The sequence below is a fragment of the Homo sapiens genome, chromosome 6 (genome assembly GCF_000001405.40).
Source record: "Homo sapiens chromosome 6, GRCh38.p14 Primary Assembly".
Lineage (NCBI taxonomy): Eukaryota > Metazoa > Chordata > Mammalia > Primates > Hominidae > Homo > Homo sapiens.
Window position 1 is genome coordinate 73176782 of NC_000006.12, and position 25606 is coordinate 73202387.

General features: G+C 40.3%; 1 protein-coding gene across 6 annotated transcripts in view; it reads left to right on the forward strand.

Moving 5' to 3' along the window:
• KCNQ5 (potassium voltage-gated channel subfamily Q member 5) overlaps positions 1 to 22072 on the forward strand; it is a 576790-nt gene extending 554718 nt beyond the window's left edge. For all 6 annotated transcript variants that reach the window (NM_001160133.2, NM_019842.4, NM_001160134.2 and 3 more), the window contains 3 exons: positions 13792 to 13923; positions 15784 to 15910; positions 17671 to 22072. In NM_001160133.2, coding sequence (NP_001153605.1) covers positions 13792 to 13923; positions 15784 to 15910; positions 17671 to 18633 — 1222 coding nt within the window. In that variant the 3' untranslated portion in view covers positions 18634 to 22072. The remainder of the gene's footprint in view (positions 1 to 13791; positions 13924 to 15783; positions 15911 to 17670) is intronic.

A 25606-nucleotide genomic window follows, 5' to 3' on the forward strand; every position in this document is an offset into this window, starting at 1 on the left:
TATTGTGAGTGTTGAGTTCAAGCAGTCACAGTAGGGCTCAGCAGGTAGGTGGATCTCTGGATCTGACACCCAGGAGAGCAGTCTGGAATATGGACAAATTTGGTAGCTGTCAGCACAGAGATAAATGGTTTGTGGAAGTCTCACCCCAGGGAGTAAAAAGAGAAGATGGTCAACACAGAAGTCTAAGGCTCACAAACAGGAGCTGCAAAAGTAAGAATGCTCTGAAGGAGATAGATTCAAACAGCCAGACAGATGGAAAACCAGGAGAGCGTGACAGAAGAGAAGCCAGAGGAAGAAAGTGTTTCAAGTAGGAGGCAGATGTCAACGCTGTTAAATGCTGCTAAGAGGTCAAAGAAGATAAAGAGTGAGAAGGTCCTTTGAAAGTGGCAACAAGGAGGTCATCTGTGACTTCGGAGAAAAATTCAGTAGAAGGAAAAGGGTTTGAAGCCAGATGGTAAATAGAACACTTTTTTAAATTACCAGAATCTCTCACTCTAATATGAACATAGATGAAGTGTCAAGAATTTCTTTGTAACTAGCAAAGGCTCATCAACTCTTCTAAAATAGCTCAGATCTGATCAGTGAACTGAAGAACCACTAATGACATTTCAGAGTTCCTGAGGTGGATATGCAAATCAGGCCTCACTGTTACCCTGGGTTGGGTGATAAAGTTTTTCAGTTTTCTTGCCCCTGTGTTATTCCTGTTCTGAAAGGCATGTATGGGACCATTATCTTGACCATCCCTAAAATGCAATCTCAGCTGTGAATCCTTCTTGCATCTCACTTCATATTTCAGGCAAGAATACTCCGCAAGTAAAGAAGAGGCACGTGTTTGCCATTGCGGGTTTTGTTAAATCTACAAGCTGTTTAATCATCACCAGTTCTTAATTTTGCTGATGGCATCTCTGCTATTTTAGCAGAGGTGATGAGTCTTTGTTTGCAAGTCACTATTAAGACATTCTTGACAGCCAATCTATGACATGTTACAGTAAAGGACGCTGCTAAAGAACATTTTATGGATCATTTAGCACATATCTTTAAAATCAGCTAATATACTCCCTGGAATGTTGTTTTTGCTTGTTTTTGTTTTGAAGGTAATTAGTTGTGGCTACATTTGCTCCGAGGCTGTGTTAAAGTAGTGTTTTCACTGAAGATGCACTTACTTTGTAGCATGTGAGATATTAAACCTTTTCTTTGGCTATAATTTAAACTGAGTTTTCTATTATTTGCTAAAAATATAGAATCTCCTATTCCATGTTAAAAATATTTTAAAGTAGTCAACATGTATAGTCAATTTATTTATTTACTTATTCATTTCACACTTTATTATTTGGTTTTTTTTTTTACACTTTAAAATTTATGCAAGATTTTACACTCCTAGGAACACAAAATCCCCAAATTTAGTCGCCATATCAATGCTTACAAATTCCTGGCAGGAAAGACTTCTTCGGATCTGGAAGTTCTTGCTTGGGTTTTACTACTCTTATACCCTTAAAAGAAAATCCAACAAAAATCTACAGGAGGGGCCAGGTGCAGTGGCTCATGCCTATAATTTCAACACTTTGGGAGGCTGAGCTGGGAGGATGGCTTGAGCCCAGGAGTTTGAAACCAGCCTGGGAAACATAGCAAGACCCATCTCTACAAACATTAAAAAAAAACAAAAACTCTGCAGGAGAGCCTACTAGATCCTGCATATAAAGGACAATAATGGCAAGCATTAGGAGAACAAGTCTACTCTCAGTGGTGGAAACAGTGTGGCCACAGAATGTCTGAATGTCCTAAGTGAGCCAAATGGAATATCTGCTTGCCCCTACAGTGAGAATATCAGACAGACTGTACACACGTGGAGCTAATTTACATTTCTCTATCAAGAGTTAAAACCAAGAAAATGAGACAGATCAGTGCATCCAGGGACTCCTGGGGTTCCTTGGTCTTGTCTAGTAACCCGATCTAAGATGAAAGAAGAGTAGAGGAATCTTAGATATATAATTTTATAACTTGCTTTGCAGATTATAAAACTGTCAGAGTTTAAATACTGTAAACACAAATACAAATCTATATTGTTGAATTATGTTTATGTATTAACAAGAAAACAACATTAAAAAGTATTCTAAATAACTAACACATATGCCTTCAATAGTGACCCAAATTATCAAGCTCTGCAGCCCTAGTTGTCTGCTGGATTTGTCCCGTGATCAATTTCGAGTGAGGGCTGCCTCAGGGGAAATTCTGTGATCAAAAGGCTCTGGGTCACCTGAAGGATGAGCCTTGGGGTCCGTGCTTTTAAGACAGATAAATGCTGTATTTCTCATGGAGAGTCAGAAATCAGAAGATAGAATTTTCCAAACTGGAAGAGGGAGTATTTCAGTCTGTTTTCTGATGTTTATAACAATATCTGAAACTGAGTAATTTATAAGGATGAATTTATTTCTTACAGTTATGGAGGCTGGGAGGTCCAAGGTGGGCAGGTGTATCTGGTGAGGGCCTTCTTGTTGGTGGGGACTCTCTGTGGCACCCTGAGGCAGCACAGGGCATCACATAGCAAGCAGAGTGAGCATGCTAAGTGCTAACTTAGGTCTCTCTTCCACTTCTTATAAAACCACCAGTTCCTCTCTCATGATAACTCATTAATCCATTAACCCATTAATCCATAATTTATTCATACAGCCAGAGTCCTCATGATCTAATCACCTCTTAAAAGTTCCACCCCTCAATACTGCCACATTAGGCATAAAATTTCAACATGAATTTCGGAGGGGGCATTCAAACCATAACAGAGGGATGTGGAATGCATGTCGGTAGTGTAAATTAACCCAAATAACCAACATAAAGTGAGGGGTTAAGGGGGAGAAACCCACATCCACCCCACAAACATAAGATCTGCAATCACAAGGGGGCCATTCAGCAACCTTCAGAAACTTAATAATATCCCCATAAATGAGGGTGCAGAGTAGGTAAAGCACTGTCATCTCCTCCAGAAATCATTTCTGATCACCTCTACCAGTCTGGGTTAAACACCCCTCTTCTGCATTCCCATATCAACCTGGGCTTCCCACCACCTTGCACATCACAAAGTGAATTTTAACTGTCTGCCTACTTGTCTGTCTGCCCTACTAGACTGAAAGTGCCCAAGCAATAGGATTTGTTTCTTCATTGCTGTATCCCTGGCATCTAGCACAGAAGCTGGCATATAATAGGCACTCAATAAATGTTTGATGAATGAATGAATGAATGAATGAATGGACAAATTCTCGAGTCCCACTCATCAGGCATCACTAGGGGAGGCAGCCACATGGAGCTTATCTAGAGAGCTCCAAGCTCTGGACAAATGAAACTCTCAAATCCTATCAGAGCTCACAGTCGCAGCAACCATTGTCTTGCACCATGCTTGTAGAGAGGAAGAGACCAAGGACCAAATGATCATTGTCATCACGTAGGAGGCTTCTTTAACTCTGCCAGCGCCCAGCAGTTAACAGTTCAGAGCCTAACACAATACTCAGCACAACGTCATAGGTACTCAATGAATATTCATTGAAAGAATGAATGAATCAGTCACTTTAGCACTTCCTTTCCCTTCCAAGGTAATCCTTTGAAAAATTAATGGAACTTCTTAACTACTTCTTGCATGAAACTTCAGACCTCACTCAAGGACGGGGAAGCATTTCAGTTCTGATTAGAGGTCTGACACCAAGGCACACTAATGCCATGTCAATGGGTCTGACATGTGCGACTTAGAAGATTTTGCAAGCTGGCATGAATCATGATCACTTCTTTGCATGAGAGCAGGGATTGTTCCACCCCCAACACACTCCACCACCACATGCCACCATCACCCCAATCCTGTCTCTACTCCAGTGGCTCTCAACCTTGGCCACACATTAGCATCACCTGAAAAGTTTTATAAAATCTTTGGACCATGCCCTGGAACAATTAAAACAGAATTTCTGGAGGTAGGACCCAGGCATTTTTTAAAGCTCCCTAGGTGATTCCAAAGAGCAGCCAAGCTTGGGAAGTACTGCTGTCTTGACAGTCAATCAAACTGCCTCTTCAGTTCACAGTTGGCTGAGCCCTCTCCGCCCTTGCACATGGTTTGGCTGCTGGCTGGGTCCGTCCATCTGTTTGGCGGTGGCAGCAGTCACTGCTGCTTCTGTTTTCTCATCGTTCTTATCTCTGCATATTCATATGCAATATTTTTACCCTAATTTAGAGGATTGGAATAAGACTTTTGTAAGATTTTAGAACTCATGGCAGCACAACAAATGCACCTACATTTCCTTATAAGTGCACATGTGTTCGTGTGTATATATAGATGTCGTCTACCCAGAGTTTCACTTTGCTTTAGTTATTTCTTCATGCTCAGAAAATTGTATGAGCAGACTTCAGTTTCAAGAGGAGGTACTAGTTTAGGTTTGTGATGAATCTTTTACACCCTCTAGTGGTACTGCTGGGGCATATCAGTTTTGTGCAATGGGTTTATTAGACTCCTAGTCTCTTCATAACCAACAGCATCAAAGGAGACTAACCTTAGAGGTCTTTTGCTCTTTGCTGCTGTATTAATCCCAGTGATGCAATCTACCCTCATGAAGAAAAGAAGCAGATGAGTATGTAACTTATTCCTCAGCCTTTTGCTGGTCCTCCAAAGGGCTCGTCATAGGTACTTAATGAATATTCATGAAAGAAAGGATGAATCAGTCACTTCAGCACTCCCTTTCTCTTCTAAGGTAATCCTTTGAAAAATTAGTAGAACTTCTTAACTACTTCTTGCATGAAACTTTAGACCTCTCTCAAAGAAGGAGAGACATAGTAAAAACAGGACATTCACTTAGCAAAAGTGTATTGAACACTTACTATGTGCCAGGCACATGTGAGTAAAAACAATCATATCATATCAAAGTGTCTTTTTCATTGTTGTTATTTTGTGTTAAAGTATGAAGATCTTAATGTTAAGACAATAGAGGAACCTTATGATTAAGAGCTCAAAGCTGGAGCCAAACTGGTTCACGTCCTAATTCCACAATTACTGGATGTTTAACATCAGGCAAGTTACTTAACCTCTCTGTGCCTCAGTTTCTTTATCTGCAAAACAGGGATGGCAATAGTACCCTTATCATAGGATTATACTATAAAGTGCTATCTAATATTATCATTTTAATCATTAAATGTATCTTAAAGGTCCTAATTTAACTCTAGAATGATTTGCCCAGAAATTCCTTTCTAGTAGGAAATACACAAGTCATATCAAACTTCTTTTGTAAGCATGTAAGAGGCCACCAAGGTCTTCTGCTTCTTCCCCAGGCCAGTTCATGGGCTTTCATTTATTCTTGGCTTCAGGGCATTTTCTCTTAGCTCTTCTTATCTAAACCAGGGGTCAGCAAACTATAGCCAGGGGATCAAAATCTAACCCAAGGGGCTTGTTTTTATAAATAAAGTTTTATTGAAATGTAGTTACACTCATTCATTTATTTATTGTCCTATGGCTGCTCGCATGCTACAGTGGCTGACTTGAGTAGTTTCAGCAAAGACCATACAACCCACAAAGCATAAGATATTTACTACCTGGCCCTTTATAGAAGAAGCTTTCTGGCCCTTGTCTAGACTCTGAGTCGCTCTGGGCTTGCTCCCAGCTGTGTTTAGAGAGTAAGACACAGAAGGTCTGGGCTAGCCTATGTGAGAACTAAGCATGAAACCAGGTTTCACTCTTCTACCTGCCAACAAGGACTCCCCTACTCCTCTGGTCTCCCCTCCACCCCCTCATCCTGTAGTTAAAGCCCTTAGTATATGAAATGCAAGTCTTAGAAAAAAAATTGAAGAATTGAAAGACCTTTTGAATTCGTAGTTGATACCTACTTTGGGACATTTTCCTCAATTTTCAGCACCCACATATTTTTTCCTGGTGTCTAGAATTATTGAACTCTGAGCTTCCTTGCTCCCTGCAAGTAACAAGATAATGGCCTACTCTCTCCTCTTATCAAAGGCTAATTGGGTAGCTTTTTGCTCATGATATACGTTGGGAATATATTACATATATTTGCTGGAAAATATACCCTGTAAAGCAAAACTAACAGACTCCAATGAGACTGATGTATATATCCTACAAATGAGGTAAAGTAAGCAGACAGCCCCTAAAATTTGTGATAAAAGGGAAAACATTACAATTACTGGAGGTAGGTAACCCATATTAGCCATGGACTGATTCCCAGAAGGGACCTTATGAGAGAATGCAGGTGGCCAGGTTGAAAGGCAGATGTTTTCCAAGTATGGGATCCCCTCTGGAAAGACAAGGACAGAGATGAATAAATGACTAATGTGGCCTTGGATTCATTTGTGTGAGAATGTCAGAGCATACAAGGCAGAGTAGGAGGTCAGATCCATAGACAGCCTAAACATTCTCCTTAATGTTTACAAGGTTGCCTGCCTGGGATTCACTCTGTGTTGCAGCACTGTGAGTGGAATGGTAAAAATGTGAGCCTTGGCATCTGCAGTAACCTTGTTCTTACTAGTTCTGTGACCTTGAACAGGTAACTCAACCTCCTGAGCTTTACTTGACCCAAATGTCAAAGGTGGAAAATTCTTAGAGTTTTAAGTTGACAGAATGCAGGTAAAGTACTTAGCACTGCACCAGCCATCCAGCCAAGCACAACTCTTGGAGACCCACTCAACATTAAGTTGAAGAGAGCAAGATCTATGTCTTGTTCACCTTTGTATCCCCGCCATCCAGCTCTGTGTCCAGCAGATGGATAGTGGGTGCCCAGGTTAAGTTCATTGCATCATAGAGACAGAGGCAGTTCCAGGCATTCCAATGATGACCAGAGAAATAAGAAAATGCTGCAGGGGGCAAGGAGGACAATACTAAATACTCAGAGATGCTTTCTCAAACTTAGCTTGGACACAAATTTTCCTCTCTCTACCTTCTATTTTGATCATGAAAATCGTGTACTGTCCTGAAAGAAGTGAGAGGGGATTGGGTGGAAAGAGGGAGGCTGAGATAATTGAATAATGTAAACATGTCAAGTTATGTGACCCCACTGACCTGGCATCTTCATTCACAGAGTATGATGGCTAAAACAGGAGCCCCAGAGAGCATCCCTCACACCTGGTCCTGCTTAGAGCAAGACAGGCACACGTGATTTTTGGAAGCACTGATAGCAATCTCCTAGGAATGAAAAACTGAGGTTGTATTCTTTTTAGACTCTAGCCACATGTTTTCCACTGTTTTCTTGATGGTCTTATAATACTGTAAATTTCATTCAACCAATATAATTCCATCCCAACAGGCTCTTCCCTCTCTTTTCCCTGGACAGTTTTGTTTTGCTATTAGGTCTTTCTTTACTTTTGCTGCTTATCATGTTGTAGTATTACATATTTCTTGACTTCCACTGTTCTTGCCTTTCTCCTTATTTCCTCAAAATGATATGTTGTTGCTTGCAATGCTGTTGCTTTGTGTGATCCTAATTACGTTAGCAATCTAAGGAAAAAGAAAATTATGTTTTCATGATTTTCAGTAGCAGTTCTATTTAAATGACTTTTCTGAACCCCACATGGTCCTAACTATTGAATGAGTGAACATTTCTTTTACTTTAGAAAGTTTTTTTATTCATGGAGGAAACTCAGAGGCTTATGCTCTTTCTGAAATGTGCCTGAAGAACTTCAATCTATTCTAAGGCATTCTTTTTAGAAGATCTGTACAAGAGTCTGCCTTGTCACAGAACACAAACATCTTTGAACTATGGAATAGCAAATCCTCATTTATTTCTTCAGCTAGCATTTAATGAACCCCCTAATACTTGCCAGGGATTATGCAGATGCTGAAGTAAAGAGCACAGTTCCTGGCATGAATAAATTCCAGTGGGTGAGACACACTGCCACAGATTTAGCTACCTCACAGTGCATTTGAAAGCACAGAGAAAGACCATCTACCCCAGTGAGGGTGGTTAGGAAAGATTTCCTAGAGCACTTGGTGCTTGAGCTGAATCTGGAACAATTAGCATTTTAGGTAGAGTGCAAAGAGACAGAATCCTGATGAATGAGCACTTTGGTGACAGGAAAATCCAGATGGGCTGGAGAGCAGGCAGCATGCAGAGGAATGACTAGAGATGAGTATTTGGAGAGAGAAGGGGGGAATTCTCACCATTCACTACCCTCTTCCTTCTAGAGTTGCCCGAAGTCTCCACAGTAGAGCTTCTAAACAAATAAACCTCCCATGTTCATTAAACTCTGGGCCAAGTTTTGGGATATGAAGAGTAGAAGACATAATCCCTGCATTCAAGGTTCTCACACAGTCTGGTGGAGGAAGCTAGAATATGAGTAAATAATTACAGTGTGGTGTGTTAGGTACTAAGCTAGAGGTTAACAGAGAAGTGATTAACTGTTTTGTTGGAATCATAAAAATTTCTATGAAAGAAGTGAGCTTTTTTTGAGACAAGGTCCCACTCTGTTACCCAGGCTGGAGTGCAGTGGCAAGACTGTCAAGGCTCACTGTAGCCTCGACCTCCTGGGCTTAAGTGATCCTCCCACCTCAGCCTCCCAAGTAGCTGGGAGCATAGGCATGTGCCATCATGCATGGTTAATTTTTTATTCTTTGTAGAGACAGGGGTCTCACTATGTTGCCCAGGCTGGTCTCAAACTCCTAGGCTCAAGCAATCCTCCCTCCTCAGCCCCCCAAAGTGCTGTGATTACATGTGTAAGCCACCACACCTGGCCAAAAGAAGTGACTTTAAAACAGAGTTTTGAAAACACAGCAGGATTTCAGGAAAAAGAAATAGCAAATGGAAGTAATTGAAGTATATAATTGATTGGCTAGGGTTTTTGTGGACCTACACATACTTTATTGTTGCTGGAACCTAAAGTTCCAAGGACGAAGTGGAAGGTGATGAGGCAAGAGAGATAGAGGCCAGTTTATAAACAGCCATATAGGATGTGCTTCTAGGAGTTTGATGTTTATCCTATAGGCCAGGGAAAACCAGTGAAGGACTTTAGGAGGGAGGTAATATGCCCTTACTTGCATTTTGAAAGGTTTGTTCTTTCTAAGCCTATAGCAGTGGAGATGCAAATGAGGGGACAGCTTTGAGAGCTATTAGGACATGCCTAGTCTTCTTTTAACGAAAGTATAATGACAGGGTCATCATTCTTTATATAAATCATTGATTTCAAAAATATCTATGGGCCAAGTGCAGTGGTTCATGCCTGTAATCCCAGCCCTTTGGAAGGCCAAGGCAGATGGATCACTTGAGCTCAGGAGTTTGAGACCAGCCTGGGCAACATAGGGAGACCCCCCCTATCTCTGCAAAAAATATAAAAATTAACCGGTGTGGGGGTATCTCCTTGTAGGCCCAGCTACTTGGGAGGCTGAGATGGGAGGATTGGCAGATCTGGGAGGTCAAGGCTGCAATGAGCCATGATTGTGCCACTGCACTCCACCTGGCGTGACAGAGTGAGACCTTGTCTCAAAAAAAAAAAAGAGAAAAAGAAAGACAGTCTATGCTTTTAAACATTCCCTCCACACTTATAAACCATAGAACCTGATTTAGAACTTTCATATCTCACTTTGAATCTCTTTAATGTTTTTGTTTTCAACCCACAACACAGCCAGTTGAGAAAATCTATTTGATCTCCATCTTCAAAAACTTAATCCTTAATAAGTAAGATTTTTTTTAGCATCAGTAATGCACTGGTAAATGCTGAACAACCAGCTCTTCAGAAGGAAATCCTGATTTGTATTGTTTGCCAATTTCTGTAGTGTAAATACTCCTGTCATAGCTGTTTTCAAACTACCAATGTGACATCACTGAGCAGGAATTGAGAAGACGAGCAATATTACATTATTAGATAGAATTTCCATGGTACAGACGCAATAGATGTGAACAACTCAAGAGCCTAGAGAGTAACATACAGTAAAATAATTAGGAAATGGTGAGGTTTGAGTACATATTACCTTTATTTTTAATATAATGTACTTGATTGTAAGTCTATGTAATTTAATTTTTAGTAACAGCTGTATTTAATAACCACCAAAATTCTTTTTTTAAAATACTTTAAGTTCTAGGGTACATGTGCACAATGTACAGTTTTGTTACATAGGTATACATGTGCCGTGTTGGTGTGCTGCACCCATTAACTCGTCATTTACATTAGGTATTTCTCCTAATGCTATCCCTCCCCCTGCTCCCTACCCCATGACAGGCCCTGGGAAGTGATGTTCCCCGCCCTGTGCCCAAGTGTTCTCATTGTTCAATTCCCACCTATGAGTGAGAATATGTGGTGTTTAATAACCACCAAAATTCTTTTTTTTTTTTTTTTGAGACGGAGTCTTGCTCTGTCGCCCAGGCTGGAGTGCAGTGGCGTGACCTTGGCTCACTGCAAGCTCTGCCTCCCGGGTTCATGCCATTCTCCTGCCTCAGCCTCCCAAGTAGCTGGGACTACAGGTGCCCGTCACCACACCCAGCTAATTTTTTGTATTTTTAGTAGAGATGGGGTTTCACCGTGTTAGCCAGGATGGTCTCGATTTCCTGACCTCGTGATCCACCCGCCTCGGCCTCCCAAAGTGCTAGGATTACAGGCGTGAGCCACCACGCCCGGCCTAATAACCACCAAAATTCTTAAAAGTAGTCAGTGCTTGGGAGTCAATGCAAGGTTGCTCCAGGCACCACTGCACATACTCCTCTTTTCTAAATAATTGAAATGATATTTATTAATCCAATTTTCACTATTTAATTCTCATACATAAAGTAGGAAAATCTGTAAGTAAAGCACTGGAAAAAAGGCAATACCACCTGAAGAGTGGTATGATGTATAAAAATAAATGATAAACCTATTAAGAGTTTTAAAATCTACTCTGTTTTGCATACTTATCATTATGTGAGTATATTGAAATAACATAAAAGATAATCAGTTTCATTTTTAGTATTGATCACAATTATAAACCATGGATTTTAATTTTAACTTTAGCTAGCTAGCTCATAAATAGCAAATTATGTAAGTAAAAATGAAATTATTTAAGGTTTGCATAAACTATGACTGCGTGAGTGCTAGAGTGCAATATTATCTATCAAATGCCTTCAAAATGTACTTTCTGTTAAAACATCTCTGAAAGGAAGAGAGAAAAGCAACAAGCAACTTTTGATGAATTATCTGAAAGAGCTCACATAACATCCCACCAAGAAAAAATGGCAGATCCCCATTAGGGCAAAAAAGGCAGTTGGAAGTATGTAGGTTCACATCTGGGCAGATGCGTCCCAAACCACAAATGTGTGAGCTACAGCCAGAGAGAACACACTGACGTATGCTGTAGCTTGCGCCTCTTCTACCACCATAGGAAAGAAAGAACTGCCAAAGATCCCACTCAGACTTCTCAATTCTCCAGAATTGATGCCATGGGAAAACCAGGAGGTAATGTGGCAGTGGAAACCAGACAGATCTGGGTGGAATCCTGATTTTGCCTAATACCAGTTGCTTGTTTTGGGGGGCAAGTTACTTAAGTTCTTTGAACCTCAGTTTCCCAAAATATAAATAGGAGAAAGGAATATCTTATCAAGTGCTATTGAAGACATACAAAGTACTTCACATAACAAGTGGTAGACAGATGTTATGAAAACACAAACAACCACACAACAACAGCAAAACCACCTTGGGATATATGAAGATGATTTTCCTTTTTTCCTGCCCACCCAGTCATCATTAGCTACTTTGAAGACAGCAAAGAAGGGTTCTAGGCTGTTAGATTAGCTCTTCTGGTTTTATTCTTAATATGACTCAGGTTAGAGATCTTCTCTTTATCTCTTTCTTTCCTTCCTCCTCTTATTCAACAAATATTTTTTACTGTGTCAGAAACTGTGCGAAGCTCTAAGCACACAATGTCATAGTAGAAGTGGTAACAACAATAGCTAACTTTTATTAAGCACTGACTGTTGAACAAAAGACATCTAGGCCGGGCGCGGTGGCTCACGCCTGTAATCCCAGCATTTTGGGAGGCTGAGGTGGGCAGATCACAAGGTCAGAAGTTCGAGACCAGCCTGGCCAATATGGTGAAACCCCATCTCTACTAAAGATACAAAAAATTAGCAGGTATGGTGGCACGTGCCTGTAATCCCAGCTACTCGGGAGGCTGAGGCAGGAGAATCGCTTGAACCTGGGAGGCAGAAATTACTACGAGCTGAGATCATGCCATTGCACTCCAGCCTGGGTGAAAGGGCGAGACTCTGTCTCAAAAAAAAAAAAAAAAAAAAAAAGACATCTATGTCTGCCTTTACCTAATTGACAGTCTGGTATATGGAAACAGATATTTACATAATTGCTCAGGACCAGAAATTTCACATGTAACATATTTTGTTATTTTTCTCAGTTTTTTTGATACAGGACACTAAGACTCTATGAAACCTAAATGCTGGTAAACCAATTTGGAACCAAAGCTCAATACTAAGAGGTTAAATTAAAACACTAATTTTCTTTACTTTCTGCTGAATAATTTTGCTTAAATGGTTTTGGGGGGAAATACAAAACCTATACTGAATAAAGAAGAGATTGGTGAAAAATATGTGGTTAGAGAAAGGGAGTAAGAATATTACAGATAAATGATTCAGGAATAATTAGGATATAATTAATTGAAAGTTAATAATACAATTGCAAGGTAGGGTTTAGGCTTTTTAACCTATAAAACAATTTGGATTCCTTGAAATCAGCTGTCACCTAAGATAGACAATGGATGTTTTCTTTTTCAACTTTACATTTGTTCCTAATCTTCCCACTTTCCACCAAGTGACAACAAATTTTGTCTCTTAGTGACTGATTCCCAGCCTGGAATCTACAAGTGTGATAATGGAAGTCTATGGGCCATTTAGTAGCTGAAAAACACCAACGGATTTAAATTTACCTGCAATAAGGCTACACAAACTAATTCAAATGTTATGTTTCTCTGCTTTCATCAGAAATTGCATCAAGTTATTGCAGGAACTAGTTATCTTAGGCAGATTAGCTATTGATGGCATCATGGAATTTGTTGATGAAATATCATTGTAAAAGATGGGGCCCATGTTGCAGGAGGCATTGTTATAAGAGGTCCCTGGTTCTGAAAAGCTTAGGCTCCCAAGCTTAGTTAAGAAATGTGTTATGGCAGGACCCAGTGGCTCATGCCTGTAGTCCCAGCACTTAGGGAGGCTGAGGCAGGAGGATTGCTTGAGCCCAAGAGTTAGAGCCTGGGCAACACAGTGAGACCTCATCTCAAAAAAAAAAAAAAAGTGTATTATGTTTAAAACAAAAAGAACTTGGCTAGCTAATCCAGCAGTATTCTGCAGGAATAATTTATGGGAAAAAAAAAACACAAATTTCCATATTAATGTACATTTCTCTAGAGAGAATAGAGTGTTTTGCAAACACATTTGTATCTCAAAAATGCATGTAGTTCCATAAAAGACCATTTTAACAGCCTTTATATTTTTTAAGGGATGCTATTACTAGATGTTGTATCTTGGACTTCTGGAGATTGCATGGAAAAGTTAGAATTGCATTTTGACTTTAACTTACATTCAGGGTTTCAACGGACATTAAAAAGGCAAAACACTTAGTGTTCAGCCTCTTTTTTAGTGTGTTTTTCTATTCTTAAGGTGTTGTCTCACATGAGATGTTCTTAAATTGTCCACTGTAATCTCAGGCTTTTATATTACACATCTGCAGAAGCCAAAAATAATTTGATGCATGACTTTTCCCCCCAGAGTTTCTTATTATATTTACTGGTAAACTATTTTGGTAACTTATATTAACAGAGTTATAAAGATTAATATGTAATATGTTCTCATACAGAATTATGAAATTTCATGTTGCAAAACGGAAGTTTAAGGAAACATTACGTCCATATGATGTAAAAGATGTCATTGAACAATATTCTGCTGGTCATCTGGACATGTTGTGTAGAATTAAAAGCCTTCAAACACGGTAAGCAATGGAAATGTCATTCCTTGTAAAGGAATGGGCATAGAACCTATCTAGGAAGAACTTCTCTTTAGTAGAGTAAACCTCTGAACTCCATATTTTTCATTCATTTTTAGTGGGCAAATGGAATTTGCTTTAAACATTGATTTTATTTTGCTTTTAACATAGATATAACTCAGGCATTCAAAGCATCCAACTGTCTCATTTTCCTTATCTGTAAAAATGGGAAGAAAGTTAGTTCTTGCCTTATAGGGTTGTCATGAGGATTGAACAAGTTAATGCATGTAATTCATAACATGTAACAGGCCTGGTACTGTGTCTAATAAACATCAATGGTTGTTGCTGATGTTTGAATTATTACTGCTGCTGATCCTAAATTATCTAAATTCCATTTATTATCTAAATTCTAATCATCCTTTGGGAATAACGTACTATTTCTCCTTCATTAAGTTTCATCCAACCATCCAACCTGTGAAGACGGGCCTTTCTCTGACCTTTATACAGTAGCAGAGTCTACTGCAGAGCACAAGAGCACTCAGAATCTCGGTGTGCTGGGCCAAAGTTGAGACTTGGCCCTTGTGTTGTTTCCTGGTTGCAAGTGTGTTCACCTTGCTCTGGACTAAGACTGAGGTCCTTCATTCATGTCCTGTACGGTTCTACAAATATACTATCCTCCTAGTAGCATCTTATTGAGTGATTAAAAGAAATGAATTCCACATGTTAATTCCAACCACATATGGTTGATTGTGATTATCTCAAAGCCAAAATATTCAGTAAATTCAGTTTTTTAAGAGCCTTGCTTTATTACCAGCACAAATTACCAGCATTTGTGATTGTATAGTGCCCAAAATGCAAGGACTGAGACTTGAACTTTTTTTTATGCCCCCCAGCACACTTAGCCCAGTGTGAGGCATATAATGGGCCCTTAGTAAAATACCTGTTCATCAATTGTTATAGAAATAACAATTTGTTAATTCATTTAGCAGGTAATTATTGAGCCCATCATGTGTGCCAGGACCTGTGGACATCCAGAGATTGATAAAATAATGACCCAGACCTTGTAGAGTTTGCAGTTTAGTAAATTAGATGTCATGGCAGGAAGTGAGTACTGCCTATGTTTCTCTTCAGACAAAGTAAACTGGAAAGTTGTCTATACTCTTGATAATTCAATTCTAAACACATACAAAAAAAGAAGAAAGTGATTCTCATTTAGGCTGGTCAAGTTCTCTTGGAAATTGCTTTAATTCATTCTGTAACATCTGTAACATGACCAGAGATTGTGGTCATATTGCAATCTCTGCCTAGATGGCCATGGCCTTCTAAGTTCTTTAATAAAACTGTCTACAGCTCCCAAGGTTTTATAAAGTTGAACTGCTACAGAATTTATAGAACCAATCTTGGGTTTCTAGCTCATGTATCTTCTCCAACTTGAACTCCGAAAGAAAAAGACCATGGCTTTCTTATCTGCTTATCTTTCACACATGTACAATAGATGCTCATAGAATAATCTGTTCTATTAATGTAAGATCTCTATAGTTATGATTTTTGTCATATTTTGAAATGGTTAAATTCAGGAACTGCCTGATCAGAGGTAGAAACATATTACTTTGTAGTTTAGGACACTTTTACTTCCAGAAGATCACCCATAAGTGATTTCATCTTGGACCAGAATAATGAGAAAATTAATTTCATGTGTAATCTCATGTTCAAATAAGCATATCAACTGGAACAAGTTCTTTCTTATTTCATCTTACATAAATTGAAGATAACTGTATTTAATTTTTTTTTCCAAAACTCTTCATTCTGACCTAGGGCAATCTCCACCTTCAGCCCTCATAATCAGATCTCCTCTTTCTCTGATAGTGTTGATCAAATTCTTGGAAAAGGGCAAATCACATCAGATAAGAAGAGCCGAGAGAAAATAACAGCAGAACATGAGACCACAGACGATCTCAGTATGCTCGGTCGGGTGGTCAAGGTTGAAAAACAGGTACAACTCAACTACGCTGGGTATCTTTTTAGCCAGAATTTTTTTAATCAAAATTTATTATAGGCAATTGTATGTATTCCAGTGATTATTTTAAAATAAATAAAATCACAAAAAGAGTGAATAAAATTAAATTTTCTTTGTGTGTAGACAGTGCTCTCTGAAACACTCTGGATTTCCCTTTAAGGAATAGAAAATCTCATCTCATCAATTAATAGTTAATTGGAAACAACTATAGATTTCCAATAGTTGAAAATCGTTTAAAAATAACAAAGATCTATTCTTCATTTGTGTTTCAGTTGTTTTTATTGTTTCTTTTTTAGGTCATTAATTTTTTTTTTTTTTTTTTTGAGACAGAGTCTCACTCTATTGCCCAGGCTGGAGTGTAGTGGCATGCTCCCAGCTCACTGCAACCTCCGCCTCCTGGGTTCAAGTGATTCTCGTGCCTCAGCCTCCCAAGTAGATGGGATTACAGGCATGCGCCACCAAGACCGGCGAATTTTTGTATTTTTAGTAGAGACAGGTTTCACCATGTTGGCCAGGCTTGTCTCAAACTCCTGACCTCAAGTGATCCGCTTGCCTTGGCCTCCCAAAGTGCTGAGATTACAGGCGTGAGCCATAGCACTCTGCAGGTCACTCCTTTTAAAAGTAAAACAAGGCCGGGTGTGGTGGCTCATGCCTGTAGTCCTAACACTTTTGGAGGCCGAGGCGGGCAGATCACAAGGTCAGGAGTTCAAGACCAACCTGACCAACATGGTGAAACCCTGTCTCTACTAAAAATAAAATAAAATAAAATAAAATAAAATAAAATAAAATAAAATATAAAATAAATAAAAATAAAACTTTATTATAATTCTGATGACACATTGAATGTTTGTTAACCTCAAGTCTGTTGCATCTTCATATACAAAGACAATTTTCCAGAAATCAAATGGCTCCCCCAATTTAATAAAAAATACTTCATATATTAATTCCGGAGCATTTTGTACCTTTATTTTTTTATGTAACTTTAAATTCAGAATCACCTAGATTGATGCTTAAGGTATTGGTTTCATTATAGAATAAGTTCCTTACTAGATTTCTGTAGAGTTTCAGAATGTCTTCATAGAGGAGACTTAGGAAAGACAATCTGACAGGAATGGGAAGTCTTTTTTTTTTTTTTTTTTTCAGACAGGGACTTCTCTGTCACCCAGGCTGAAGTGCAGTGGCACAATCATGGCTCACTGCAGCCTCTACCTCCTGGGCTCAGTCAATCCTCCCAACTCAGCCTTCCTAGCAGCTGGGACTATGGGCATGCACCACCACACCTGGCTGATTTTTGTATTATTTTTGGTAGAGACGAGGTCTCACCATGTTGCCCAGGCTGGTCTCAAACTCCTGGGCTCAATTCTCCTGCCTCAGTTTCCCAAAGTGCTGGCATTACAGGCATGAGCCACTGCACCCAGCCTGGAATGGAAAGTCTTAAAGTTGCATTTTTATAGTGCTTATATGACTTTTAAGAGGCACTATTTAAAGAAGTGGTGGGGGAGAGATGCTAATAAAGACTGTATAGAAGCCAAAGTGTCCCTCTCTTCCTAAGTCCTCCTCTGGCCCCATCATTGCTAAATGTTACATTCACTAAGGGTCAAGACTGCATCGTACTTTATATTCAATATTTCTTTAAATGTGTTGGCACACCTTGACTTCATTTTTCAAAATTAAAAAATGAAGTCCATTCTTAATAACAGATTATACTCATGTGTAACCATTTTCCTCACTTCTAGGTACAGTCCATAGAATCCAAGCTGGACTGCCTACTAGACATCTATCAACAGGTCCTTCGGAAAGGCTCTGCCTCAGCCCTCGCTTTGGCTTCATTCCAGATCCCACCTTTTGAATGTGAACAGACATCTGACTATCAAAGCCCTGTGGATAGCAAAGATCTTTCGGGTTCCGCACAAAACAGTGGCTGCTTATCCAGATCAACTAGTGCCAACATCTCGAGAGGCCTGCAGTTCATTCTGACGCCAAATGAGTTCAGTGCCCAGACTTTCTACGCGCTTAGCCCTACTATGCACAGTCAAGCAACACAGGTGCCAATTAGTCAAAGCGATGGCTCAGCAGTGGCAGCCACCAACACCATTGCAAACCAAATAAATACGGCACCCAAGCCAGCAGCCCCAACAACTTTACAGATCCCACCTCCTCTCCCAGCCATCAAGCATCTGCCCAGGCCAGAAACTCTGCACCCTAACCCTGCAGGCTTACAGGAAAGCATTTCTGACGTCACCACCTGCCTTGTTGCCTCCAAGGAAAATGTTCAGGTTGCACAGTCAAATCTCACCAAGGACCGTTCTATGAGGAAAAGCTTTGACATGGGAGGAGAAACTCTGTTGTCTGTCTGTCCCATGGTGCCGAAGGACTTGGGCAAATCTTTGTCTGTGCAAAACCTGATCAGGTCGACCGAGGAACTGAATATACAACTTTCAGGGAGTGAGTCAAGTGGCTCCAGAGGCAGCCAAGATTTTTACCCCAAATGGAGGGAATCCAAATTGTTTATAACTGATGAAGAGGTGGGTCCCGAAGAGACAGAGACAGACACTTTTGATGCCGCACCGCAGCCTGCCAGGGAAGCTGCCTTTGCATCAGACTCTCTAAGGACTGGAAGGTCACGATCATCTCAGAGCATTTGTAAGGCAGGAGAAAGTACAGATGCCCTCAGCTTGCCTCATGTCAAACTGAAATAAGTTCTTCATTTTCTTTCCAGGCATAGCAGTTCTTTAGCCATACATATCATTGCATGAACTATTTCGAAAGCCCTTCTAAAAAGTTGAAATTGCAAGAATCGGGAAGAACATGAAAGGCAGTTTATAAGCCCGTTACCTTTTAATTGCATGAAAATGCATGTTTAGGGATGGCTAAAATTCCAAGGTGCATCGACATTAACCCACTCATTTAGTAATGTACCTTGAGTTAAAAAGCCTGAGAAACCAAACACAGCTAATGCTATGGGGTGTATGAATATGTCAAGTTTAGGTCATTTAGAAGATTTGACACTGTATTTTGAAATTATGGGAGTAAACACCTTCAAATTTCAGGCATTTCTGCTTTGTGACTAAATACAAACTACATTTTCAAGATTAGGCCATAATGTATATTTAAACACAATGGCTATCAACAGCTGCTAATAAGGTATCAACTAAAGCAGAATTGGGGAATAATAGAAATGGCTGCTTATTTCAAGATATATTTGCCAACCCATTCCTATTCAGTCATTTTATTATTAATGTAATTTGAATGTCAATTTGTGTGCTTTTGGTGATTTAGCGCTGTGGCAAGCAATTTTGCACATCATTTTCATGTTGTTCTTTATGACAAGAATGTTCTTCAATTAGAAAATGTGCAAATAATGAAATTCAGGGCCAGTGAGGCAAATAGACTATCTGACATATTTGACTTTATGAAAACATATTGCCTGATGGCAGAATCAACTTTATAAGTGGTCAACTTCTACACAAGCGTATGAAATACTGGTCAGTAGAACAGCCATTGTGATTGGACTGGTTTCTCTGCAATGGCGCCAACCCCAGGCTTGCCAATACTGCCTATGTAAAGGGCAAGTGTGAGAAGCTATTCTCATTTCGCTGACATACAGGTAGGACTATGGGGGATGGGACATTTGAGTGGGACTGAGATAGGAAAGGCTTGAAAAGAACCCAGAAACACCACCAGGAAGTTGGCAAAGTAAAAGAAAATGACTTCCCCCTCAAAGGGCAATGAGAGGGAGAGAAACAAACCAAAATAGAAGAACTAGACTTTTTAGAAAATGAGTATTGCTAGGGAATTCAACTACCTAATCTTCCCTTATTCTTATATATAAGCAGAGAATTTTTGCAAGGTATTTATTTTTTAATATGCCCTGAATGTCTTTTGCTATTATGTGTACATTTTGCATATGAAAGTCTAAAACGAAACTTCCTTTACTTTTTATACTGTAGTGAAAATTTTCTATTCTTCCCAAGAATGTTGTCCCAAATCTGAAATTACTGGTTCAATTTCCTGATATAAACATTTACAATTAGAAGCTAGATAGTACTGGCAGAGTCTGCAAATCAGAACACTTAAATATATCATGGCAGCAAAAAGACCAAGGGAAACAAAATGACAAATGTATTTATCAGAAAGCAAGCAATGCTGACTGCTTGTTAGAAACCCATCTAGCTATCTTAGGTCACCAGAACTTCAGCCAACGTAATGACATTCAAAAAAAAAGGACATAAGAGATAGCATTTCAATTCAATTAAACCCTAGCCACAGGAGGACTCAAGAAAGGAAGTTGTTTCCTTGGCAGACATAAATGCTGCCTCCAGAAGTACTTCTCCAGCAGCCAAGCAGAATGAGCAGGGTTATCAAGTGGATGTTCAAAGGAAGAAGGAGGCCCTGAACTCCACCAATCCTCCCCAGCCCTCCCCAACAGGCTTTCTCCATCATTGACTCTCCCCTGCTTTTCTTCTTCATTAACTCCTTATTCATTCCCTGCCAGTATTTTGCTTCTGAACTTCACCAGGCCTTAACCAGCCTCCATCCCCAGGTCAACCAGTTCTCCGCTTTACCTAAAATGTGCTTCTCAACCTTTTAGAACCTTGTCCCTTTTGATAAACATGGAAATTTTTAAAGCTTCCTCTTCGCATCCCACTTGGATTCTAAGACAATTAGAATCATTTAGAATCTTTTTGGCTGCTGGAAATGTATAGAAGATAGAGGCTAAATTTTACACTTCAGTTAAGACATTGTCAATCCTTTTAAGCAATTGTTTTCATTTTCAAAATACAGAATGTTAGTAAATTATGAAAATCAATTTTTCATCTTCATTCAACCTGAAGTTGTGATTCCCCCTTGCAAGAATGTTGCATACACACACACACACACACACACACACACACACACACACACACACACACACACACACACACACCCCTCCACTGACCTAAAGCCAGACACCTGCCGTGACTGGGCAGGCTCTCTCCCATTATTAACAGAGGAAGAGGAGGGAGGCAGCAACTTTCAGGTAGCACTGATTCTTGGACATACTCTGTCCTGGGTCAAACCCCACTGGCAGCAGGAATTCTGAATGTATTGGGGACCCCTCCTTAGGCCTCGTTAAGTCTCAAACACAGTACAGCTCACCCAGCATTGCTGACGACTGAAGATTCAGAAACAAAACCTACACACAGCACTGAGGTCTTAATCATAGCAAAATGTGATAAACCATGTTGTGAAAAACTTTTATACATTGAAGCCATGACCATTTTGTGTCTATCTTACTCTAGCACAAAAATTGGGGGATGTTAAAAGATAGTTGTGTGGAAGCTATAAGGTTCTGTCTGTCGTGTTACTCTCTGTGGAAATGAGAGGGGTCTCCCATTTACACTAAGCAAATTTCCATTGGTCAATTTTAATGATGTCTTGAAGCACAATTTAGCTGAGCACTGAGTAGCCATATGCTTTCTGAGTACAAGTGTGTCTGCCTTCTTCAACATGTAGGGTTGATCAAGCTAATACTTAATTGCAAATATCCCTTGTATGAGGTTAACTAAAAAAATTTTGCTATGTCTGATCTACATGTTTGCATTTTGTTCAACTAAATTAATATTTGTAGATTGCAAGTTTTGTTTAAAATAACTTTATTGAGTTTTTAAGTCCTGATCTGTTCTAAGGTGCCTTTCTCACCTCCCATTGATTCAGTGATTCTGAAGTTCTTAATTTGCAAGTAAAATAAGTCTACTAGAGAGGAGGAAATCAGGCACAAATTGACCAATTCTCATGCCATTTGCAAAGCAAAACTGTAAGGATGATGAAACCTGGCTAACTAAATTAATGGATCATTTCACTAAATCAGATAGAGGAAATATCATAAATATTAACTTGTCTCCCTAGAAGCTGAGATTTTTCGCCTTAAATGACATGGTTGTGTTTTTGTAAGAGAAACTTAATCTAATCTAATAATGTGCATTTAAGTAAGCAGTTCTAAGTCATGTATGACAATGCAATTGTCTGTTTCCTGAAAACAAATAAATCGGGAACACCATATCCATTTCAAGCTATCATTAAAGTGTAATTTCCTTTGCTCTCTTTTACTGGGATTATTTGTTTTAAAGTAAAACATTAAAAAGATGTCTATAAACAGCTAGTGTGACTATTTTTATCTGGAACTAACTAGTTGGTTCTGAACTGACTGGACCAAGTCAACCAAACTGACTGTATACAGATTTTGGACTGAAATATAAAAATTATCTTTTTGCAGTGTTACGGAAGAAGTCTTTGGTATTTTGGGAAGGGGGGAGATTTGCATATGCTCCTGGGGTTTTTGTGAGAACTATTAATTTGAAATTGATTGTAACTCAGATACCACGCATGTGAGTTTTGTGTTATCTATAATAAAGGGATTTGCTAAACAATGTTAAGAAATGGGGGCCAGGTGGGTGCCCAAATGTTGCAGCCTCTGGCTACTCAGAACTACCATTTTAAGCACCTACCCAGCTCTGCCTCACCAGGGAAGGGCTTCTGCTCCAAAAGGACCTTTTTTTCTTCTTCCCTAAAAAAAATCCCATTTTTTCTATTTCACTAGCAATTTTGCACTAAGTGCCAAGGGTTAATCCCAGTGGAATTATTTTCAAAGAGATACAGAATGTTAAAACTCTGGAATACAAAGCAACAAAGCCCGATAGAGATGTTTTAGACAGGAGGAAGAATTACAGAGTGTTATCCTAGAGGGAAGAAAGGGCTTCCCACTACTGCTCTAAAGAGATCAAATAGTTATGTGCCTGTTCTATCAACTTCTAGATGAGGGAAAAGAAAATTGTGTATGGTATATGCTTGCTTGACCAACTTAAAAATGTTAAACCGCTTCCAAACATTTTTGGAAATACTTTAGCAGTACTTCCCACTCCTTCCATTTAAAGCAAAATATACTTACAACAGTTATTCTATCCTAACCATTCATGAAAATGGGCTGCCAGATCTTCAAGTGACAACTTCTATCAGTCTAGATTCAACTGCTTTGAGAATCTGGTACAAGTAAAAATTGTTTCTTTGAAAAACTTAAATTTTATCTCACACAGCTCTGAGATTTGAAAACAAAATAGAAATCTAAAAATGTTTTTAAAATAAAAATAGGCTGAGCACAGTGGCTCACGCCTGTAATCCCAGCCCTTTGGGAGGCCGAGGTAGTTGGATCCCCTGAGGTCAGGAATTCAAGACTAGCCTGACCAATATGGTGAAACCCCACCTCTACTAAAAGTACAAAAATCAGCCAGGCGTGGTGGTGTGCGCCTATAGTCCCAGCTACTCAGGAGGCTAAGACAGGAGAATTGCTTGAACCCGAGAGGCAGAGGTTGCAGTGAGCCAAGATTGCAGAGATCACACCACTGCACTCCAGCCTGGGCAACAGAGTGAGACTCCATCTCAATAAATAAATAAACTAATTAATTAAATAAAACAAATTTTCATTAACTGCGACAAGACTTCTCCCTCTAGCCCACCTAATTCCAAATTACTGAAGTTTTTGCTACATTTCAAAACAGAAACGTAGCAGATACATTATGCACAAACTATCGATTTAGGCACTGCTCTGGAAATCACAGCACCACAAAAACTGGTGAATGGCAAAACTTTCCTGTTCAAATAAATAGGAAGGTCAAAGGTACATTGATATGATATATTACTCTTTGCCTAGTCATATGATTTACTTCTTTTCTGTCACAATGTTGGCGACTATTTTAAGTCCAGTATGCTCTAGGATAGATATCAGGGTTCTAGGGTTTCCATACACTGTCATAACACCTGCACCTACTTTTAGAACTTTTCACTTGTATGCTTTTTTAGGTTTTTTTGGTTTTGTTTGTTTGTTTGTTTTGTTTGATTGTTTTTGGACACAGTCTCTCTCTCTGTCACCCAGGCTGGAGTGCAGTGGTGCAATCTCAGTTCACTGCAACCTCTACCTCCCAGGTTCAAGCAATTCTCGTGCCTCAGCTTCCTGAGTAGCTGGGATTACAGGTGTACACCACCATGCCCGGCTAATTTTTTGTGTTTTAGTAGAGACGAGGTTTCACCATGTTGCCCAGGCTGGTGTCAAACTCCTGAGCTCAGAGGATCCACTCGCCTTGGTCTCTAAAAGTGCTAAGATTTACAGGCATGAGCCACCGTGCACAGCAGCTTTTTTTATCTTTGGTGACACTCATCTCTTTCCATTACTTGCTGCTTCTTCCTTCTCTGTTCCTTTGCCTGCATTGCTGTGACTCACTTCCTGTATCACCAATCCCTATCCATTCCTGTGCCCCCCAAGTAACTAGGTACTCACACCCTCCCCTTGCTGCAGCTCAGGGTGCCACTCACCCTCACTTAAGCCATGAGGACATCACACCATGCACACCCCCAACACATAGATGCTTTTCAGAAGTGCTGGCACTGGCGCTCCTCATCTGAGCCCTCTGGCCAATGCTGCAATGCCCAGTTCTACCCCCGCTACCAGAAATCCCTCTGCTTGCTTGGTGGGAGAGGAGGCAAACCCCACTCCAGGATGGGAGCTCCTTGCTCTCTTTTTTTTTTTTTTTTTTTTTTTTTTTTTGAGACAGGCTGGGGTACTGTGGCACGATCTCGGCTCACTGCAACCTCAACCTCTCGGGTTCAAGAAATTTTCCTGCCTCAGCCTCCCTAGTAGCTGGGATAACAGGTGTGTGCTACCACGCCTGGCTAATTTTGGGGTTTTATTTTTTGTTGTTGTTGTTGTTGTTTTATTTTTCTGAGATGGAGTTTTGGTCTTGTTGCCCAGGCTGGAGTACAATGGTGCAATCTCAGCTCACTGCAACCTCCACCTCCTGGGTTCAAGCAATTCTCCTGCCTCAGCCTCCGGAGTAGCTGGGATTACAGGCATGCAACACCATGCCCACCTAATTTTTGCATTTTTAGTAAAGACGGGGTTTCACCATGTTAGCCAGGCTGGGTCTTGAACTCCTGACCTCAGGTCATCCACCCTCCCCCGCCTCCCAAAGTGTTGGGATTACAGGCGTTAGCCACCACGCCTGGCCTAATTTTTGTATTTTTAATAGAGATGGGGTTTTACCATGTTGGTCAGGCTGGTCTTGAACTCCTGACCTCAGGTGATCCGTCCACCTCAGCCTCCCAAAGTGCTGGGATTACAGGCATGAGCCACCACGCCTGGCCACTCCTTGCCTTTAGGGTAAACTAACTCTTCCACTCTGGGTTCCCAAGCCCTTGGTTGTCACCTGCTGCCCCTCCCCTTCCCCATATCTACAGCATCTCACCCTTTCCCCTCATAAGTATGCTTAAGCCTCTCCCATGTTACCAACAACTTTCCAGTACCCTCTCTTCCTCTTTTTTTTTTTTTTTTTTTTTTTTTTTGAGACGGAGCCTGGCTCTGCCGCCCAGGCTGGAGTGCAGTGGCGCGATCTCGGCTCACTGCAAGCTCCGCCTCCCGGGTTCACGCCATTCTCCTGCCTCAGCCTCCCCAGTAGCTGGGACTACAGGCGCCCGCCACCACGCCCGGCTAATTTTTTATATTTTTAGTAGAGACGGGGTTTCACTGTCTTAGCTAGGATGGTCTCGATCTCCTGACCTCCTGATCCGCCCGCCTCGGCCTCCCAAAGTGCTGGGATTACAGGCGTGAGCCACCGCGCCCGGCCGTCCCTTCCTCTTTTTTAC